Below are 19244 nucleotides of genomic sequence, written 5' to 3' on the forward strand. Positions count from 1 at the left end.
ATCAGTGCTAGACACAAGCTCGGCACCTGTTCACCTTGGACAGCCTGGAAGGCCCTTGATCTGCAGCATATTTAAGTGGCCATCATCTCAACAAACGATATGACAATCAAATACAATCTTACATCAACAGGAGAGGACCATTTCGAAGGTTTCTAGGTCAGGCAGATTTCTGTCCAAAGAGATACAGAGTACTACATACACACTCCAGGCAATCTCAAGCCTCCTGGAATGAGTCTACCACACACATGATTCCCGGGAAGCAATTTTCAAGAGCCAAAGTTTTGTGTGCTAATAAGAGTTCCAAAATCCCCATTTCTAGACTGAACGTCCAGGAACATGATCTCGAAAATCCACACTCCAGAGAAGTACTGAGCAGGAGACTGGACACATATCTTAAGTAGTTTGCTCTGTGTGTGCGGAAGGAAAACGTGCAATGCTTTTGGCTTTGTTTTTGTTTTGTTCTTAGTGGAGTCCAGTACTCACTCATGAAAGTCATGCCTTTACAGTTCTTGAATTTTGCTGATGAATATCTACCCAAATGCAAATCCACTGGGGGTGGGGCTCTAGGTATCCCCTATTGCACAAATTAAAGCTCGTGAAAGAACATAACGTAGCCATGAAGTCATCTGCAAATTTGTGTCCCTGCTAGCTTGTTCCAAACTTCTCACACTAGGTGTTCTTCTAAGGAGGGAAGCAGGAAATGTACCTCTCCATATCCGCTTCCTCGCACCTACCCCGACAAAGGCAAGTGCATAACTCAGGTCTTTGCTTGGGCCTACCTGCTTCGTGGAAACCCCATTTCTCCACATGGTGAAGAAAGCAACAGAAATACTTTGGTTCACAAAGTCCTTGCTTATGAATCAAAACAGACTTTTGGAACATGGATGGGAAGAGGTTGGAAGCTTGTGGCAAATGCCAAGTTCGCAAACAGTATACCTTACCAGCTACTGAGTATGGAACTTTGGAAAGAGGACATGCCAAGAACCCCAAAGCCGTGTTCAGACAGGATACCAGCAGGGCTTGGCTATGTCCCTGCTAAGTGACCTGCATCCTCCGAACCACGTGAGGTTCAAAAGAGAGCTTCAGCAAAATAAAAGGTTCCCATGCCACTTGACTTTGGTTGTTCTTAAATACTTGAAACTTTGAACGCTCAATATGTAAATACATGAAACATGCTTAAAACAGGGTCTGGGTCATGCAAGTCAAACAAAAAGAGGTTAGACATCCACAAAATTTCAACAGGGTTGAAGCCTGATTTCTTATGCTAGGTTGTGGCTAGACTTTGCCTGGTTCTCACTCAGCCTACCTCTAACTCAATCCTCCTCTTTGGCACCTGGATATGGTCGATGGCTCTGGCACAGAACTTGCCATAGAACTTCTTGGCACCCAGACCTTGTAGATCATATATGGTGAATGGCCAGAGATGCAAGACGTTGTTGAGGGAGAAGGCATCTCGTCAGTGACCCCAGGGCCCAACAGGAGCAAAGCTTACCTTGGTGTTAGTGCACGCTTTTCCCTTTTTGTAGTCTTTGTGACTGCCCCGTTTGTCCAATTTTGCCCAGAGGGCTTTGGCTTTCCAGTAGTTAAGCTTGGACTTGAGCTTGTGATAGAAGGAGCGGTAGTCCTTTGGCTTTAGTTCCAGGTGGTCACAGAGCTCCTGGAAAGCCTTGAGGGTTCCCTTGCAGGTGGTGGCCTGGACAAACCGGTCAAAGAGGACATGAGCTGGGTTCATGGTCTCATGCTTCCTCTCCTCCATGCTGCCTCACTCTCAGCACTCCCCAGAGGGGGAGGTGGGATGGCTGTGGGTCCACCTGACACTGTCACGTTAATCTGACAAAAAGAAAGAAAAACGTGGTTAGCATTTCTCTGTCTACAAACATTCTCCAGGAGACATATTCCTCTTCAAAGCAGAGTTCTAAAGTGTCGCAGTCATCCATCCATAAGTGTGGACTGCACACCTGCAATACTCCAGGCACTACGAAACACTGGGGCTGGAAAGGTGAGCAGGATGGTTCTTGCTCTCAAGGATCTGACAGTCTAGGAGACGAGGCAGACACAGACACAGAATGTCTCAATGGACTGTACCAAGTGCCACTAGAGAGGGAGACACAAGGCCATCTCGGAAACAGAGAAAGAGGATCTAAGTCACTATTGGTGGTGAAGGGGGGGGGTCCCCACTGAAGGCGAGCCTCTGAGAGGTGACAGCTGAGTCTCTCAGCATAAATGTTAGCCAGGCAGGGAAGAGGTGTAGGACATGGGAAAGTGACAAAGACAGGCCTGAGTGACTCGTACAGATCAAAGAGGCAAGGATAACTCCCAGGTTTCCAGCTTAGGCCCCGGATTAAACGGAGACATCAGGCCAATGGATTAAAAACAGAAGCACTCCTTGGTGCCAGTGGAGCAGTGAGCCCCTTCCTCACCTGCACACGTGAGCTCCAAGTGGAGGTGCTTACCGGGAAGTCGGTACAAATGTGAAGTTCAGGGAGTGGCTGGGGACGCAGATCCAGATTTGGGAGTCGCTGGCACACGGGCAGTAGCTAAGCATACAAAAGCAGGAAGATCACGAAAGGAGAGTGCACAGGGCAGAAGAGCCGCAGACTCTGGAAGAGATCCAGGAGGCCCCACCTTCAAGAGGCTGGGAGAGAAAGATGAGCCCTCTTAAAAGATGAGGAACAGTAGGGAGAGGTCTGAAGAGAACCAACCAGCAGCATCACAGAAGTCTAAGGAGCAGAAAGTTCGAGAGTGTCAAAGTTGGCAGGGATTAAAAGAACTGAAGAAGTCCTGCTATTGCGTAAGGTACAGGGTTGGGAGACTTCACAGTCATTCCATTTTCACCCTGAATCGAATTGAACAGCAGTAAATGACGATATCTATGCCTTCCACCTATGGAAATGTCCGCACACCTACGTCCAGTGAGTCTGCTGGACAGAGGCTGGGAGGTGGGAGATGGCACCGCGTGTACTCCTGCACCCACCGGCTCCTGTGAGTCTGCAGAATCGTTTTTGCGTCACATCTGATGAAACCTCACCACTGGAACTGTATTGGAAGGTGGGAGGCAAAAGGACAAAGGACAAAACTAGTGAGTAGAGAGTGGGTCAGGGTGACAAGACGAGTGTGACCACAGGGCTGAGCCCACACAGCCAGACCCCAGCTGCACGACCCCGCTGCACAACTCTGGGTAAGCACTGTTGCACGAACCCTCAGTTTCCTTGTGTGTAAGACAAGGAGGTTAGACAGCGCCCCTAAGACTTTCTTTTTTTCTTTTTTTTGAGATGGAGTCTCGCTTTGTTGCCCAGGCTGGAATACAGTGGTGCGATCTCTGCTCACTGCAAGCTCCACCTCCTGGGTTCACTCCGTTCTCCTGCCTCAGCCTCCCAAGTAGCTGGGACTACAGGCACCCGCCACCACGCCCGGCTAATTTTTTGTATTTTTAGTAGAGACGGGGTTTCATCGTGTTAGCCAGGATGGTCTCAATCTCCTGACCTCGTGATCTGCCCGCCTCGGCCTCCCAAAGTGCTGGGATTACAGGTGTGAGCCTGGCCAAGACTTTCACTTCTGAAGTTCTCCAAGGCTACTGCTGAGAAATCCACATGCCCACAGCACTTGCTCCTGGTGCTCTCATCACAATGGCCCAGCACAGGCACATCACCAATTCACCACGAGAGTGACCAACACAACTGGACTGGACTTTGCTTTAAAGATGTACCCTTGGGGTTGGGTGCAGACAGAGGAAGGGAGTGGTTGATGCACTACGTTCAGCAGGCATGTAGAAGCAAGAGACTGCCCACTATTCAGCTGCAGGTGCTGCTGAAACCAACTCTTGGAAGACAGGCACCATGTTCCAGAATGATACAGAAGAGGCCCTGAAGCTCTTACTTTGGGTAAGCACACTGAGCAGCAGTGTGAAGTAGAAATGACATGCCACTTCTCTCCGCACCTCACCATGGTATCACAGGATTAAACCAAACCAAATGAGATGCATCTTAAGTTTCATGAGAGAAAGTTGTAACTAAATACAAGGAACTGCCCTCTCCACCTTATATTTTCTATGTCAACAGACACAACACTCGTCACATAATGTGGAGGATACATTGCAGATGGAACACACTGGCTGGGCTTTTCGCCTCAAATATATCACGTACTCAACAAACCCTCCTGGCTCTAGATATTAAAAACTATACTGCTGGCCCAGTGTGGTGGCTCATGCCTGTAATCCCAGCACTTTGGGAGGCCGAGGTGGGTGAATCACTTGAGGTCAGGAGTTCAAGACCAGCCTGGCCAACATGATGAAACCCTATCTCTACCAAAAAATACAAAAATTAGCCAGGTGTGGTGGCACACGCCTGTAATCCCAGCTATTCAGGAGGCTGAGGCATGACAATTGCTTGAATTCGGGAGGCGGAGCTTGCAGTGAACTGAGATTGTGCCACTGCACTCCAGCCTCAGCGACAGAGTGAGACCCTGTCTCAAAACAAAACAAAACAAAAACAATACACTGTTAACACACATAGCTTCTCTCAATAGCCACATGGCCAAGAGGCCAGCAAGAAATGGAGTTAACTGGAATTAACATTCAGTTTCCCCAAAAAAGAAAGGTTTTATTCTAGGTAGCAGCAAGAGAAATACTTTACAGTTCCTAAAAAGGGCCCATTATTTATCTTACAAGCCAAGGCTTATCTTAGAAATGTTAGAAAGTCAAAAGATGGCTTGTAGGGCAGGAAAGAGCAGATGTGCTTATGTGAAGGCAGGAGAAATGGTGACAGCTGACAACCCATGACTAGAAACAAAGGTCCCACACCATTTTCTACATCAGGGACCCTCTTTGCCTCCTGACCTCTTTGTGGGACTTCTGAGGCTTCACTTGCTCTTTGACAAGCACACAGCATGGCACAATCCTGACCCTGTGTGCCCTGCCTGCATTCACAGTCAACCTGAACTCCACCAGAGTCACAGTGTTTGGTAAGCTTTGCATACACTGGGTCTGATCCACCGCTACCTCATGTCAAAGAAGAAAATGACTTTTCTTTGTTTCTAAACAGTAGCCACTTTCAACTCCTTGCCAGGATTCAGAGCACTCAGAACCATGACATTCTTGCTGAAGCCAATACATTAAAGGTCCTGCAACCCATAACTCCAAAATCCTTCCCGTCATAGCGCCTGCCTTGGCTTACACCTACCCTGAAAGAGGGTCTTGGGCACTTATTTCCCAAGAAGAGTTCTTACGTGTGAGCTAACAACCCCATGGCTGGTTGTCACCCACTCGGTTTGAAATAATTCACTTCCAAAGAGCTGCTAACCGCCACAAAGAATTTCCAAATCAAACCCCACTACAGAGGAACGGCTTCACTAATAACTGTCCCCAATCCTTCTGCTAGTGAAAACACTTTTAAATTAACAGATGTCAGCCACAGCTCCCAGAGAGCTGCAGAGCCAACCAGCAGGCAAGTTTTAATTCCCCGGCCGAAGAGATTTCGACCTGCAGGGCACTGGTGACAATGGATGAACAGAGGCAGGATGGCTCCTGGAACAATGCGACCGGCACCCAAGGTAAGACGACACAAGATGAATTCCCTTGGGCTGCCTCACTTTTCCTGCTTTGCAGCTGAATGATGACTGCAGCGCAAAGACTCCTCCAGAGTGTGACAGCATTGCTCTGTGGCTCTGCTGGGCTGGGCCTGTCTCACTCTGCAAGGGGCTTACCCGGCATTCTCCTTGGCTCTGACAACAGCCGGGAAGCACAGCAGAGCAGGGCTATTTCTGTTACCGCCCCCATTTCCCTCATTCCTTAAGGTCAAAGCCAGATCATGCTCCTCCTGGCCTGTCCTGCACCACCCTGTGTACAGTTCATAATCACAGGAACCTGGAGACCAGGAAACCTGGCAGGAAGGTGCCAGAAATCCCAGAAACTGAAAAGCCAAGGTGTGCAAGGAAGGGGTAGAGGAAGTGAGGAGCCGGGTTGGGGGCTGGGGGAGGAAGAGGAGGTGATGCCAGGTTTCCAGGCATCTGTGAGTCTCTGCCAGCTGACTCCAGCCTGCATGTTTTGTCCGCAGCAGCTGACTGCTGACTCAGAAGCCCCGCATGGGCCTTGGCTGTGGAGGATGGCACTGCAGAGACGGCCTCTGAAGCACACGCAGGACATGGTTATGTTTCTATTTATAACAATAGTTGAAGGTTGTCACTGACTTCTGGCTGGCTATGAGAACACTCAATCTCTAGCTCTTAGAAGAGGTAGCTGGATGTTTGTGGGGGAGTAGAAAGGAGAATCATGTTTAAAAATAGAAAAAAAAAAAGAAACAAAACAACAAAAAAGAATGACACTTCAAGAGTATGGCATCAGAGTGAAGCTTAGTTTTCTCCCTAGCCAATGCACCATGAACACACCAGCGAACGTGCAAATTTCTGAATCTTACACAGCAATCTGTGAACTGCGCCTTCCCCTAGCCCATTCAGTCAGAGGTATGTCTCATCTAAACAGATCTTGAAAGCGGGTGGAAGGCCAGGTGAGGTGGCTCATGCCTGTAATCCCAGCACTTTAGGAGGCCAAGGTAGGAAGATCACTTGAGCCCAGGAGTTCAAGACCAGCCTGGGCAAGACGGTGAGATCCTGTCTCTTCAAAAACAAAAAAATTAGCTGGGTGTGGTGGCATTCGCCTGTGGTCCCATCTACATGCGAGGCTGAGGTGGGAGGATTGCTTGAGCCCAGGAGGTCGAAGCTGCAGTGAGCCATGATCATGCCACTGCACTCCAGCCTGGGAAACAGAGCAAGATCCTGTCTCAAAAACCAAAAAAAGAAAAAAGTAGGTGGAGAGGAACACTTGATCATATTTTCCCTCAGAAACCAGGACCCAAATCGCCAACATGCCTCGGGCTCCTGATCTGTCTTCCTTCAACATAGGCAACTTAGCATCATTATTTGAAAAGCCTGTCCTTTCCGTACTGAGTAGTCCTGGTATCCTTGTCAAAAATAATTTGACCGTAAGTGAGGTGCATGAGGCTGAAGCAGGAGGATTATTTGATCCTCCCAGGAGCTAGACTCCAGCCTGGGCAACATAGCAAGACCCCATCTCTTAACAAAACATAGTTTGACCATATATGTTAGGGTATGTTTCTGGGCCCTCTATTGTATTCCATTGGTTTATATGTCTGCCTTTATGTCAGTACCACACTGTTTTGATTAGTATAGCTTTATAGTAAGTTTTGAAATCAGGAGGCATGAGTCCTCCAGCTTTGGTCTCCTTTAGAAGGGCTGTTTTGGCTATTCAGGGTCCCTTGAGATTCCATGTAAATTTTAGGATGGGTTTTTCTATTTCTGTAAAAAAAAAAAAAAAATCATTGGGATTTTGATAGGGATTACACTGAATGTGTATTGTTTGGGTAATTGTGACATCTTAACAATAGTAAGTCTTCCAACCCATAAGCGTGAATTTGTTCTCATTTATCTTTTAATTTATTCCAGTGATGTTTTTTAGTTTTCACTGTACAAGGCTTTCACCTCCTTGGCTAATTCCTAAGTGTTTTATTATTTTTGATGCTACTGTAGACAATTATTTTCATCATTTCCTTTTCAGACTGTTCACTATTAGTATATAAAAATGTAACTGATTTTTGTGTATTAACTTTGTATCCTGCTACTTTGTTGGATTTATGTACTAGCCTTGAACAGGTTTTTCTGGTGGAATCTGTAGGATTTTCTACACATAAGATCATATCATCTACAAATGGAGATAACTGTCTTCCTTTCCAATTTGGATGCCTTTTAATTTCTTTTTCTGGCCTAACTGCTCTGGATAGAACTTCAGGATTATGTTGGATAGAAGAGGCAAAAGTGGGCATCTTTGTCTTGTTCCTGATCATACGAGGAAAAGCTTTCTGTCTCTCACTGTTGAACATAACACGTACCATGGTTTTTCGCATATGGCTTTTACTAGGTGAAGGTAATTTTCTTCTATTCCTAGTCTGGTGAGTATTTCTATCATGAGAAGGTATTGAATCCACATGTATTGCATCCTGGGATCTATCCTGACTCTCCATCCTATTTATCATCAAGCTGACACTCAGCAGGATGGAGAGGAAACATGAAGCCAGCTCCTCCCCCCACCACTGTGCCCTTCCCCTCTCCTGCCTGTCACCCGGCTGCACTCCTCATCTGCTCCTGCCACTCTGCAAGGACATTATTTAAATGTCTCTCTCCTCCATTGTGAACTTCCTTAGGGCAGGGACTGGGTCTCTGCGCTATAACCCGACCTGGAGTAGAAATAAGTCGTGTTTCTGTGGAGGTGACGAGGGTAGGATGGAGCCCAGCAGCTCTGTACTTGAAGGACCGGTCCTGGGGAAAGCACTAGCCTGGCCTGCGTGGCTGCGGAAGGTGAAGGAGACCTGGACACATGTTAGAGAAAGACTTCCAATGTGCTACCAAAACGTGGTATCCAGGAATGCAACAGTCAGCCTGGGCGGGCAGTGACAGTCTAACAGGAACACTGCAAGAGTGTGGCATTTTTCTCATGACCAGCACTCTGCTTGGCTGGGTGTGGATGACCCCTCTCTAGAGGCATCTGAGAAGAGCCAGACCCAGATAGCCTCTGGGTTCTCTTCCAAGTCCCTAATCCTGCAGGACTGTAGTACAGTCCTAACACTTATGTTGTATCTTTTCTAATTTTCATTTCTATTCTTTGCTAACAACCTATTTCTTCATGAAAACCAAGTTAAGAACATCCACGCAGCTGAGAAATGAAGTAAGTCAGAAGTGACCTGACCTCTGCCTTGCAGTTCTGTCACCCCAAACACATTAAAATGTCTGAATCATAGCGAGGCACCCAATAAACACAATCACTGATGATGACGTCAACTCACGTTCAAAGTAACCCCCAAAACAAGCAATCAAGAAGAATGCCTGAGGCTCACCATCCTACAGTCTCCTCATCTGTAAAATGAAAATCACAGGGTTTTGTAGGAAGTAAGGTAACGAATGTAAAATGTTTATCAGTGCCAGGAACAGAGCAAGGACCAACCCACAGTAGCGCTGTTATCATCCAGCAGTTTATCAATAAACTCCAGCAATGAAAGCGCATACTCAGTCTAAATAAAAACGGAACAACAGGGTTCAGATGGTTTTGTTTTTTGAAGGAAAGAAAAATGGTTTGGAACTTTCTCTGCTCCATTATCACTCTTCCCCTCTCCACTCCATCTGTTCTAGAAAGCGTGAGAATGGCATTGGGTGGAGGGGGGTGCTAAAGGAGTAAGATCTGTGTAAGTCCTGCTAAACTGTAGTGTTAAACAAGACAGATAGAAGATACTGAGTCGTTACTACTCGGTGCCACATCCACGCCTATGGCATCTTCACCACCATCCCGCGAGGCAGGATGTATGACCTCCATTTTGCAGATGGGGAAAGGCATGTTTTGGGTCCAGACTTGTCCAATTGAGAGCCTAAGTCCTTAGCCATCATGAAAAACCACCTGAGAATACAGCTTGAGAAATGAAAGCTCATGAGAATGCATGCCTCCAGTCCCTAACCACCCGAGAGCAGGAACTTGCCTGCCAGGAAGATAGCTGCCCAGCTAGCAATGGATATGCAGTTTCAAGTAAATTTAGCAAGGACACACAATACAGGATTCTTTTTCTCCTCATGATTTATCACTGCATCTGCTCCTTTGAAATGGAGCCCTTTCCAAATGGCAGTGAGAGCAGTCTGGTTTCACAGTAATTCTTCTTACTGGCTGCCAAAAGGCTAAGCAACTAAAACAGTGCTAACACAGTATGTATCAGTTGGCATTCTGCGGCAGGCTCTTGCACCCCAGCCATCAGCAACGCCTATGAGGAGTCAATGACAAAACATTTTCCAATCACCTAATACTACTCCATCCATTGTAGGAGCTTGGGGAAGGACAGAAGGTGGACCTCAACCTGCCCACTGTCAACAGTACAGACCAAAAGACCCACACCTTCCTGACCCACTAATCTAAGAGCCCTGCCCTCAGGGGTGATGAAAGGCCTCTGGGTGGGGAGAAAGCCTCATTGAGGATGTGGGAAAACACAACCAAAGGAGAATCCCAAAAAAAAGCTGTTCTCCTCAAGGGCCGGAATCCAATCTATAACGTCGGTGCAGAAGTCAGTGCAGTTACTTTTGCCGTTACTTTTAATAGCAAAAACCGCACTGACTTTTGCACCAACCCAACACTCTGCTTAGCACCATGTACTCAGTTCCAGGCACACAGCAGGTGCTCAATAAGGTTCTGCTGATTAAAGGGCTACCCGGTCACCTACACTTGGGCAGACCCAGGAAGCTGGCTGGTTGGTAGGCCGTACAGGGCAACCTCCAGGCCACTGCACACAGGGACTCAGAGAATGCCAAGCCTCCAGCAGTCCGAAGGGAGAGAAATACCTCACGAGATGACCGGAGAACTTGTGGGAAACATGCAAGGTCCTACCAAGGCACTCGGGTCAGGTCGCTTCCTCCCTCTTGCAGGGGCAGAGCCTGCAGCTAAGGCTTTCCGACGCTGGCCCAAAACACAGCTGGCAGGAGACTAACCTGGAACAGAATATGGGGTTTCTCAGGTGTCTCGCCTGCCTGTCGTCACTGCCACAGAACCACAAAATACACTGCAGTCAAGGCTCAGCACCATCTGAAAGGTCATCTAGGCCCACCAGCCACCCCACACCTGCCTATCGATGACATGTCAACGGCACCAAGCTGAGCAGCTTGCAATCAATGTTCATTTCTCAAGGATTCGATTTCTGTGTAGAAGACCAAAATAGGCTGGGTGTGGCGACTGATGACTGTAAACCCAGCCCCTTGGGAGGCTGAAGCAGGAGGATTGCTTCAGAAGGAGTTCAAAACCAGACTGGGCAATATAGCAAGACCCTCATCTCTACAAAAAATTAAAAAATTAGCCAGGCATAGATGCACACCTGTCGTCCCAGCTACCCAGGAGGTCGAGGCTGCAGTGAACCATGGTTGCACCACTGCATTCCAGCCTGGGGATGGAGCGAGATCCAGTCTCAAAAAAAAAAAAAAAAAAAAAAAAACCCAAAAAGCAACAAAAAACAAAAACCAAAAAACGAAAACACAATTTCTCTTCTGCCATGGTTCTCAGTTTCTCCACCTTCTCGGCATTCTTCCGCAAGTTTCTATCGGTAATCAATGTCTATGCCCATATCATCTGCCTTCCCTCCAATGATAGCGAGCGACATCTGCCGCATGTCTCGCTGAAGCCAGCCTCTGCCTGTGCTTCTGATCCTGTCCCCGTTCTTACTCAAGCATGCTGCCTCCCACACTGGTCCCTTCCCTGCAGTGATCCTCCCTCACCCCACTGAACTGTCTTCAGCAAGGACACGTCTTTCAACACCCAGTCCTGACCCCACCCGCTCCAACTAACTTACTCTGCTCCCCTTGACAGCAAAACTCGCTGAAAGAATTGTCAATGCTTTGTTCACAACTTTCTCTTCTCCCACTATCTTTGAACCTCCAACAAGTAGACCTTGTCCTCAGCCCTCCACAGAAATGCCTCATCAAGGTCATGAATGACTTCCATGCTGTCCAATCCAATGATCAATTCTCAAACCTTGTTTTCCTCAACCTGTCTGCAGCACAAGTCACAGCTCACTACCGTCTGCCCCCCCACAACCCCACCGGCCTCCAGGACAAGGGGACACTACTCTCTGGGTCCTGCTGTGACCTCATAGCCCCTCTCTGCGTCCTTTGCTGGTCCCAGACCCATCCCAAGCCTCTGCACGTTGAAATGGCCCCGGAATCAACTCAGTCTCTGATCTCTTTTGAAACTACATCTCCTTCTACATCAGTGGCTTTTAAACTGTGATCTGCAGTTTAAAAAAAGAAGTTTCATACTGTGATCTAGGACACAGCTCTCTTTTCACATAAATTTAATTTTTAAAAAATGTTTCATAGGGCAAAATTCCCCTATCAGTTGGCATAAAAGGAAACATTTTACAACAGCCCTTACTACCGAGATATTGTTTTCAATTCTATTTCGTTTTTTGAAAATTGCTGGTGCCCACTGTATTGACTTCATGACCCACGGAGACACAAGCCACTGTGAAAGCTGTGCCCTGGAGGATCCTCCCTCCCGTAGATTTATCTACACAGTATCAATAACCAATGGTGCCTTAATATTTATTTCCTCTCTCCTGAACTTGTGCGACCAATCACTTGTGTGACTTTTCTACCTGGATGTTTGACAGGCATCTCTAGCTTAAAGCACTGGAGGCAACACTCTGATGCCGCTCGCCAGAGCCTGTTCCTTCCCTAGTGTTCTGCATCTTGGTAAACAACACCGCCAGCTACCCGGACACTCAACCCAAAACCTTGCCCCCGTCTGCATTTCTGTCACATCCCACGGTCCGTTCTTCAGAAAATTCTGTGTTCTACCTTCAAATACAGCCAAATCCAACCACTTCTCACCATGTCTTCTCTATCATCCTCATTGAGACACCACCAGCTCTCACTTGCTCATTGCATGAGCCTCCCCTACTTCTGCTCCTCCAAACCCACCCTCCAGAATATTCCACAAAGCAGCCAGAGCATCCATTTAAAACACCCATCAGACACGTTGACTGCCACATCCCAGCCCCAGGTCAGATCCTGCCACCCTCCCCAACACCCTTAGGCCCAGCCACATGGCCTCTCTCCTGCTCACCAAGGCCTCCCTGGGCGGGGCTGCCCTGGCCAGCCATGCAGAGTGCCCCTCGCTCTTCAGGTCTTGGCTCACCTTATCAGAGAGAGCTCTGCTGACCACACCCAGGGAAGAAGGCCCCGCCCCTGCCCCGTCACTCTCGACCCACATCCTGTGGACACTGTGTACAAAGCATGTCCCTTCCCTCTATCTCCCCTGGCAGAGGTAAGCCCAGCTATGAGAAGGGAGTAGAGCATGAGCACACAGTGACTCCAGAGCCTTCTCCTGCTGAGGTGCCCATCCACAGCATGCCGCCCACCCGGATACACCTGCTTTGTCCTCAAGGACAATCAGGAATTGGTAAACTGTCTTCACTAAATTTCCTCAGCTGATTCAGCCATGACTTCCCATCTCAGCCAGCATAAAAGCAAATATAAAATAATGGCCTACAAGGCCCTATAAACGTGTCGTAAACATTTTGGTCTCAGGACTCCTTTATACACTTCAAAGCTAAGGAGGACCAGAGTTCGAGGCTGCAGTGAGCTACGATCATGCCACTGCACTCTGGCCTGGCGGACAGAACGAGACTGTCTCTTAAAAAAAAAACATTGAGGACCCAAAGAGCTATCAATATTTACTATATGTAAAATTAAGACTGAGACAAAATTTCAACATTAATTCACTTTAAAATAACAATTAACATATCTTAAGAAAAAAAAATTACTTTCCAAGACAGAAATTCAGTGAGAAGAGTGACAGTTTTCCACATTTCTGCAAATCTCTTTAATGTGTGGCAGCCAGATTCTCCTGCCTGCTCTGTCTGCAGCAGCAGCACATATCACGTAGCCTCTAGAAAAGGCCACTGTACACACCTGGGCAAACGAGGGTGGGAAAAGCACATAATAGCACTCAGTATTATTACAAAAACAGTTCTGACCTCATGGAGCGCCCCCCAGACCTGCACCCATACACACGCCTTCCCTCTGTTGCCTCCTTTCCTGCCGCCAGCCTCTCCATCCCTGCTGGCCGCAATGGCCTCCCCATGTTCCCCACCTACCAGACACCCTCTCACCTCAGCCTCCGCATCTGCAGCTCCTTTTGTCTAAAAATGCTCTTCCCTCCGATCCGTTCACTCAAAAGATACTAGTGAGCATCTATTATGGGCCGAGGACTCTTCTACGCTCCAGAAATAACAGCAGTGAACAGAGAAAACAAGCTCTGACTTCCAGGGCACGAGCCTTCTAATGCAGCTGACACATATATTCAAATGCCAGCTTCTCAGTGTGGACTTCCCTGGTCACATCGTTTAAACCTGCTCATCCTCTTTCCCTGGTTTTCTCCAAAGCACTTACCACAACTTGACATACTCCAAATGTTTTTGGTTTTTGTGGGTTTTTTTTTTTTTTGAGACAGGCTCACTCTGTCACCCAGCCTGGAGTGCAGTGGCATAATCATAGCTCAGTGCAGCTTCCTCAGCTCAGGCGATTCTCCTGCCTCAGGCTCCTGAGTAGCTGGGACCACAGGTGCACACCACCAAGCATAGCTAATTGTTTTTTACTTGTAGAGATAGGGCCTATGTTGCCCAGGCTAGTCTTGAACTCCTGGGCTTCAAGCAATCCTCTTGCCTTGGCCTCCCACTGGGATTACAGGTGTGAGCCACCACACTCAGCCTCTAAATGTTATTTACTTACAATCCATCTTTCTGCTACAATGTAAGTTCTGGAAGGGTGAGGATTTTTGCCATTTTATTCACTGTTGCGTCCTTGCACCTGGAACAGTCCCTGGACCACAACAGGTGGTGCACAGTGAGGACCACTTGATGAACAAACGGCTGTGTATATGAACTTCTCCAGGCAGAACTGAGTTAGGATATGAGACAGAAGTCGTATCAAATGAAAATGAACTGTGTGCTTTCAGGCAGTGGCACCAGGCTGGGAGTCACAGAGAATGGGACCCCTACAAGGAGAGTCCAGATGGCTTCTGCCCAGCGGGGGAGGTGCTCCCCTGGAGACCTGCCCTTTTTCCATGACCACGACCAGCCCTGGACCTGGCTCACACAGGCTCTGCCCAGCAGGCCCCACACCCAGCTCAGGACCTGTTCTTGCCATCAGAAGAGAGCCTGTCAGGAGCCAGGACCTGGAGGCAGCTTTGTTTCAATAGCCAAATAGCTTCAGTGTAACTGTTCCCTATAAAAAGAAACTGGTTTCTAAAGAACTGCGGTATCAGTGTCAGCAAATGCTATGCAACAGCCCCAGCCCACTACCCCAGAGACGAGTGAAGGACCCATAACACTTCTGATTCCAAGTTACCTGTATGGCTAACATCTGCATGAGAAAGCCACGAAGCTGCCACAAGCCCAGGTGTCAGACAAGGCAACATTTCTTCATTTGAGGCAGGAGGACACAGGACTCAAAGGGTTACTGCGCATTTCATACTTGCTGGGCGGTGACGGAGGAGGCAAGTGAGAGGGAAAGCTGCACGCGTGAAACGCCAGCCTTGGGAGTGGAATGGGGGTGGGACAAAAGCATATTTTCTGCAAGTCCCCGCAGTGAGGACTGATGTGGCTGTACCTGCCCCGTCATCTCCACCCATAGGTGGGGCCCCAATACTGCCTTCTACAATACCCCACTGGTTCCTCCAGCCTGACGCTGTGTCTTGGGGCCCCCAGCCCGTCCCCACCCTCCTAATGACCCTCTTCCGGTCATCTTTTCACTCCCTCTCCAATCTGGCCTCTGTCTCCAACACTCCACTGAGGGTGACGGTGGCTTTCAAGTGAGACAGGCTCAGACGCGTTCCGGTCTTATCTGGCTAGCTCCCTGGCTGCAGCGCTTCCTGGAACCCGCCCTCCCCTGGCTGTGCTCTGTCTCCTGCTTCTGCCCACTCTCCACACCGGCCTCCAGTCTCTCAGCTGCAATTCTTTCATCTGCCGCTCTCAAAAAATTGGATGGCCCTTGATTTTTATCATTCTGACCTTCCTCCAGAGATCCAAAGCTACTAAACATTTCCATTTAGCCATCCACAGGTGCCTCCCACCAAGGAAGTCTACCCCACACGGAGTCAAACCCACCACCCACCAAATGGAAATCTGGGGTCATCTCAGACCCTTCTCTGTTCTCCACTCCTCAACCCAATCTGCTGATTCTAACTTTAGAATGTTCATCTGCCTACCACAATCCTGGTGGAAGCCCCGAGATTCCCAGTGTGAAAGGAAAATAAATCTTGGGGCCCCAAACTCACTAAGCCAAAGGGAAAAGCCAAGCTGGGAAAGGGATCATGCAAACCCACCTTCCATTCTGGTTCCTAAATAAGATGACTACAAAGATGACTCCCTCGCATTTTGCCCACAAGGAAATTCCTTGTGGGCCCCAAGATCTTTACCCTAAAGCATTTCTGTTAAAATTCACCATGGCAATGTAAGTTGACAGCTTATCTTCACAGGTACGGGGACATAAGACAGAACTCAAAGTCATCTCTCTGCCCACCTGTGACAAAGGCATATCTGATTGTTTCCTCTGCTCTATTGTCTATGTTATCTCATGTAAAAAGGCAGATTCAGAGTCAAAGGCATGAATGACTATTTTTCCCTTCCCTCAACATGAAAACTGTGTATTTCACAATATCCCACTCTTTCTCCCTTAAATACTGAAGCTCTCAAAATCATCTTCGGAGAAAGGCATAGAACTGTCTCCCGGGTATGCAACCTTAACTTTGGCAAATGTATCTCTTAAAATGACTAAGACTTGAGACTGGCCTTGGTCATTTCCCTTGACTGACACTAGCTTGGACTAGCACAGCTGCCTCTTAATCTTTTCTTTTGTGTGTGTGATGGAGTCTTGCTCTGTTGCCCAGGCTGGAGTGCAGTGGTGCGATCTCAGCTCACTGCAACCTCCATCTTCAGGGTTCAAGTGATTCTCCTGCCTCAGCCTCCCTAGTAGCTGGGATTACAGGCATGTGCGACCACACCTGGATAATTTTCATATTTTTAGTAGAGACGGGATTTCACCATGTTGGCCAGGCTAGTCTCGAACTCTTGGCCTCAAGTGATCCACCCACCTCGGCTTCCCAAAGTGCTGGGATTACAGGTATGAGCCACCGCGCCCGGCTAGCTGTCCCTTAATCTAAACTCGCTCCAATACATCCTCCACGAGTGCCAGAGGGGTCTTTTGTAAGGGCCAATGTGACCCGTTTCAGCCTCTGCTGACACTAGGAAACAATCCAAACCCTCAGCAAGGCCCAAAAAGCTGACTTCTCTCACTACTATTAATAGATGCAACCCATCCTCTCAGGTTCCCAGCATGCACCACACTTTTACGTGTTCCTCACCTCTGCCGCCTCCTCACCTTTGCCTACAACGCCCCTCCTGCACTTGAGACTGCAGCTCAGCATTCCGGACCTCACTAAAGCGACCCCGCCCACCCCAGCCCCAAGCAGCCAATCACCTTTTCCCCTGTGTTCCCTCCCACCTGGGTGCGTGCCTCCCCTTCAACACTCCTCACTTGCTCTGGAATTAAGTCCAGGTCTGCCTACCCGTTTGTGTTTGGGTCTGGCTAGGTAGAGGAATTCACGTTCATGTTTGCACGTAGTACAGATGCGGGCAGATGCCAAGAAAGAAGGAAAAAGATAAACAGAAGTCTCGCCTGGGCCATAACATCTAATGTCACAGAACTACACAAAAGGAGAAAGGGCATTTGCATGATGATTAACTTGTTACTAACTTGTTGGACAATTTAGGGGGTGTAAGAAGGACCAGGAAGCAGCCACAGTTGAGTTCCCTAAGGCATATTAGGAGTCTGAATGGCTCCTAATTATGAAAACAACAGGACTGTTGTTTTCTGTTCACATTCCAGGATGATCCTCACCTTTTTCAGACACTAAGTCACTGGTATTATGATGTTGAAGCTCCCAAGAGTTAGAATGGCTGAAGGGAAGACTCATGCCCACAGGCTTCTTAGAGATGCAAATGGCTCGGGACGAAAGAAAACCAGGTTCAAGTGTATGCACCAGGGCACAGGCTTGGTGAGCACAGCCTTGTTCCAGGAGGGTCCTTATTCTCCAATAAGGTAGCTGTGCATGCTCAAACCCAAGCAGTGTGTCTTGGTTCCAAGCCACAGAAAGGAATGGGGAATGAGGGCTAGCTAGCTCCAAGGCCATGGTTTTCTTCAACTATTTTCATGGAGAAAATCTCAGTTGTTCTCTCCAAAGCAGAAATAAATCTAGACAACTGACCCTAAACCAGCTCAGTGGAATGTATTTTCCCTTGAAATTAGCTTAAAAGAGTATGGGACTTAGGCATGATTCATCAGTGGATCAAATGCTTCTCCAAGCCAAACCTCTCCCTCTGCTGATTCCCGCTGACCCCTGAGATCACTCCCCCAGCTACACCCCTCACCACACCACTTCCATGGGAAGGAGGATCCATTTGGTTGGAAATGAAACATTCAGAGAAAGTGAGTAACAAGCTTGCTTTCTTCTGCTCAAGGAATACTGCAAATTCCCCAAGCTACACTCAGGCAGGGTCTTGAAAGTCCACAGCCCACAACTTCTCCCCACTTATGCACCCCTTGCCCTAGGGGTGACCCTACCCTGTCCGGAGCATATTGAACTATAGCCAAAACTGTGGTTTCTTTTCTCCCAAAGACCAGTTGCCAAAAACCAACTGCCATGACCTCTCTGGGCTCCAAAATTCCAACTGCTCTGGGCTCCAAGCCAGCAACCTACCACATTTTTTTTCTACAGAAGACTTATTAATCTTTACTCAATTCAGCACCAATAAGATTAGCCAGTGTAGAGCCAGAGGGGCTACCAGCTCCATTCCACATCTACCCTGGACTAAGATGCCAGCACCTGATGGCCAAAAGGCCCAGGCCACCTTCTGGTACCTGCTGGGGCCCAGTGGCAGTCTCAGGTCCTGAGCTGGGCTTTGCCCACCCCTTGGTTTTCTAAAGCACTTGTCTAGTTTGCTACAGGCACAGGACTACTGTTCATTGGCCTGCTGGCTCTGGGATACACATTCTTTGGCTTGCTCCAAGGACTGAAACCTAAAATCTGGGCAAACCCCAGTGTTCCCTAAGGGATATTAGAAAGTGTTACTGCTGTGACCCTCTTGCCAACTGTGGCTTACACAAGTCTAACTCCAGGGAAGCCATCTGTGTTAGTCCATTCTCATGCTGCTAATAAAGACATATCTGAGACTGGGTAATTTATAAAGGAAAGAGGTTTAATTGACTCACAGTTCAGCACGGCTGGGGAGGACTCAAGGAACTTATGATCATAGTGGAAGGGGAAGCAAACACATCCTTCTTCACATGGCAGCAACAAGGAGAAGTGCAGCACGAAGAGGGAGAGAAGCCCCTTATAAAAGCATCAGATCTCAAGAGAACTCACTATCACAAGAAAAGCATGGAGGTAACCGCCTCCATGATTCAATTACCTCCCACCAGGTCCCTCCCACGACACGTGGGGAATATGGGAGCTACAATTCAGTATGAGATTTGGGTGGGTACACAGCCAAACCATATCACCATCCTTATGGGAAGGCCACCAAAGGACACCGTCAGTCCTCTCACAAATCCTGGAGAGCTCTGTGTCTGCAGTCAAGCTCCACAGACTCCAACTC

General features: G+C 48.2%; 1 protein-coding gene across 3 annotated transcripts in view, besides 3 other annotated features; it reads right to left on the reverse strand.

Annotated features, from left to right (window-relative positions):
• The window catches only part of MICAL3 (microtubule associated monooxygenase, calponin and LIM domain containing 3), a 236913-nt gene that overhangs the window by 117408 nt on the left and 100261 nt on the right, over positions 1-19244 (reverse strand). For all 3 annotated transcript variants that reach the window (NM_015241.3, NM_001122731.2, NM_001136004.3), the window contains one exon: positions 1493-1830. In NM_015241.3, coding sequence (NP_056056.2) covers positions 1493-1756 — 264 coding nt within the window. In that variant the 5' untranslated portion in view covers positions 1757-1830. Of the gene's footprint in view, positions 1-1492; positions 1831-19244 lie in introns of those variants that run through there.
• Positions 5467-5761: a silencer, noted in NCBI's record as "tiled region #8921; K562 Repressive non-DNase unmatched - State 14:Gen5'". NCBI's record gives its function as "represses a minimal TATA promoter and a strong SV40 promoter by Sharpr-MPRA in K562 cells {active_cell/tissue: K562}" and the evidence as "EXISTENCE:reporter gene assay evidence [ECO:0000049][PMID:27701403]".
• Positions 5958-6007: an enhancer, noted in NCBI's record as "active region_18642". NCBI's record gives its function as "activates an Ori minimal core promoter by ATAC-STARR-seq in GM12878 lymphoblastoid cells {active_cell/tissue: GM12878}" and the evidence as "EXISTENCE:reporter gene assay evidence [ECO:0000049][PMID:35858748]".
• Positions 6018-6287: an enhancer, noted in NCBI's record as "active region_18643". NCBI's record gives its function as "activates an Ori minimal core promoter by ATAC-STARR-seq in GM12878 lymphoblastoid cells {active_cell/tissue: GM12878}" and the evidence as "EXISTENCE:reporter gene assay evidence [ECO:0000049][PMID:35858748]".

Source organism: Homo sapiens, chromosome 22 (genome assembly GCF_000001405.40).
Source record: "Homo sapiens chromosome 22, GRCh38.p14 Primary Assembly".
NCBI classification, from domain to species: Eukaryota; Metazoa; Chordata; class Mammalia; order Primates; family Hominidae; genus Homo; species Homo sapiens.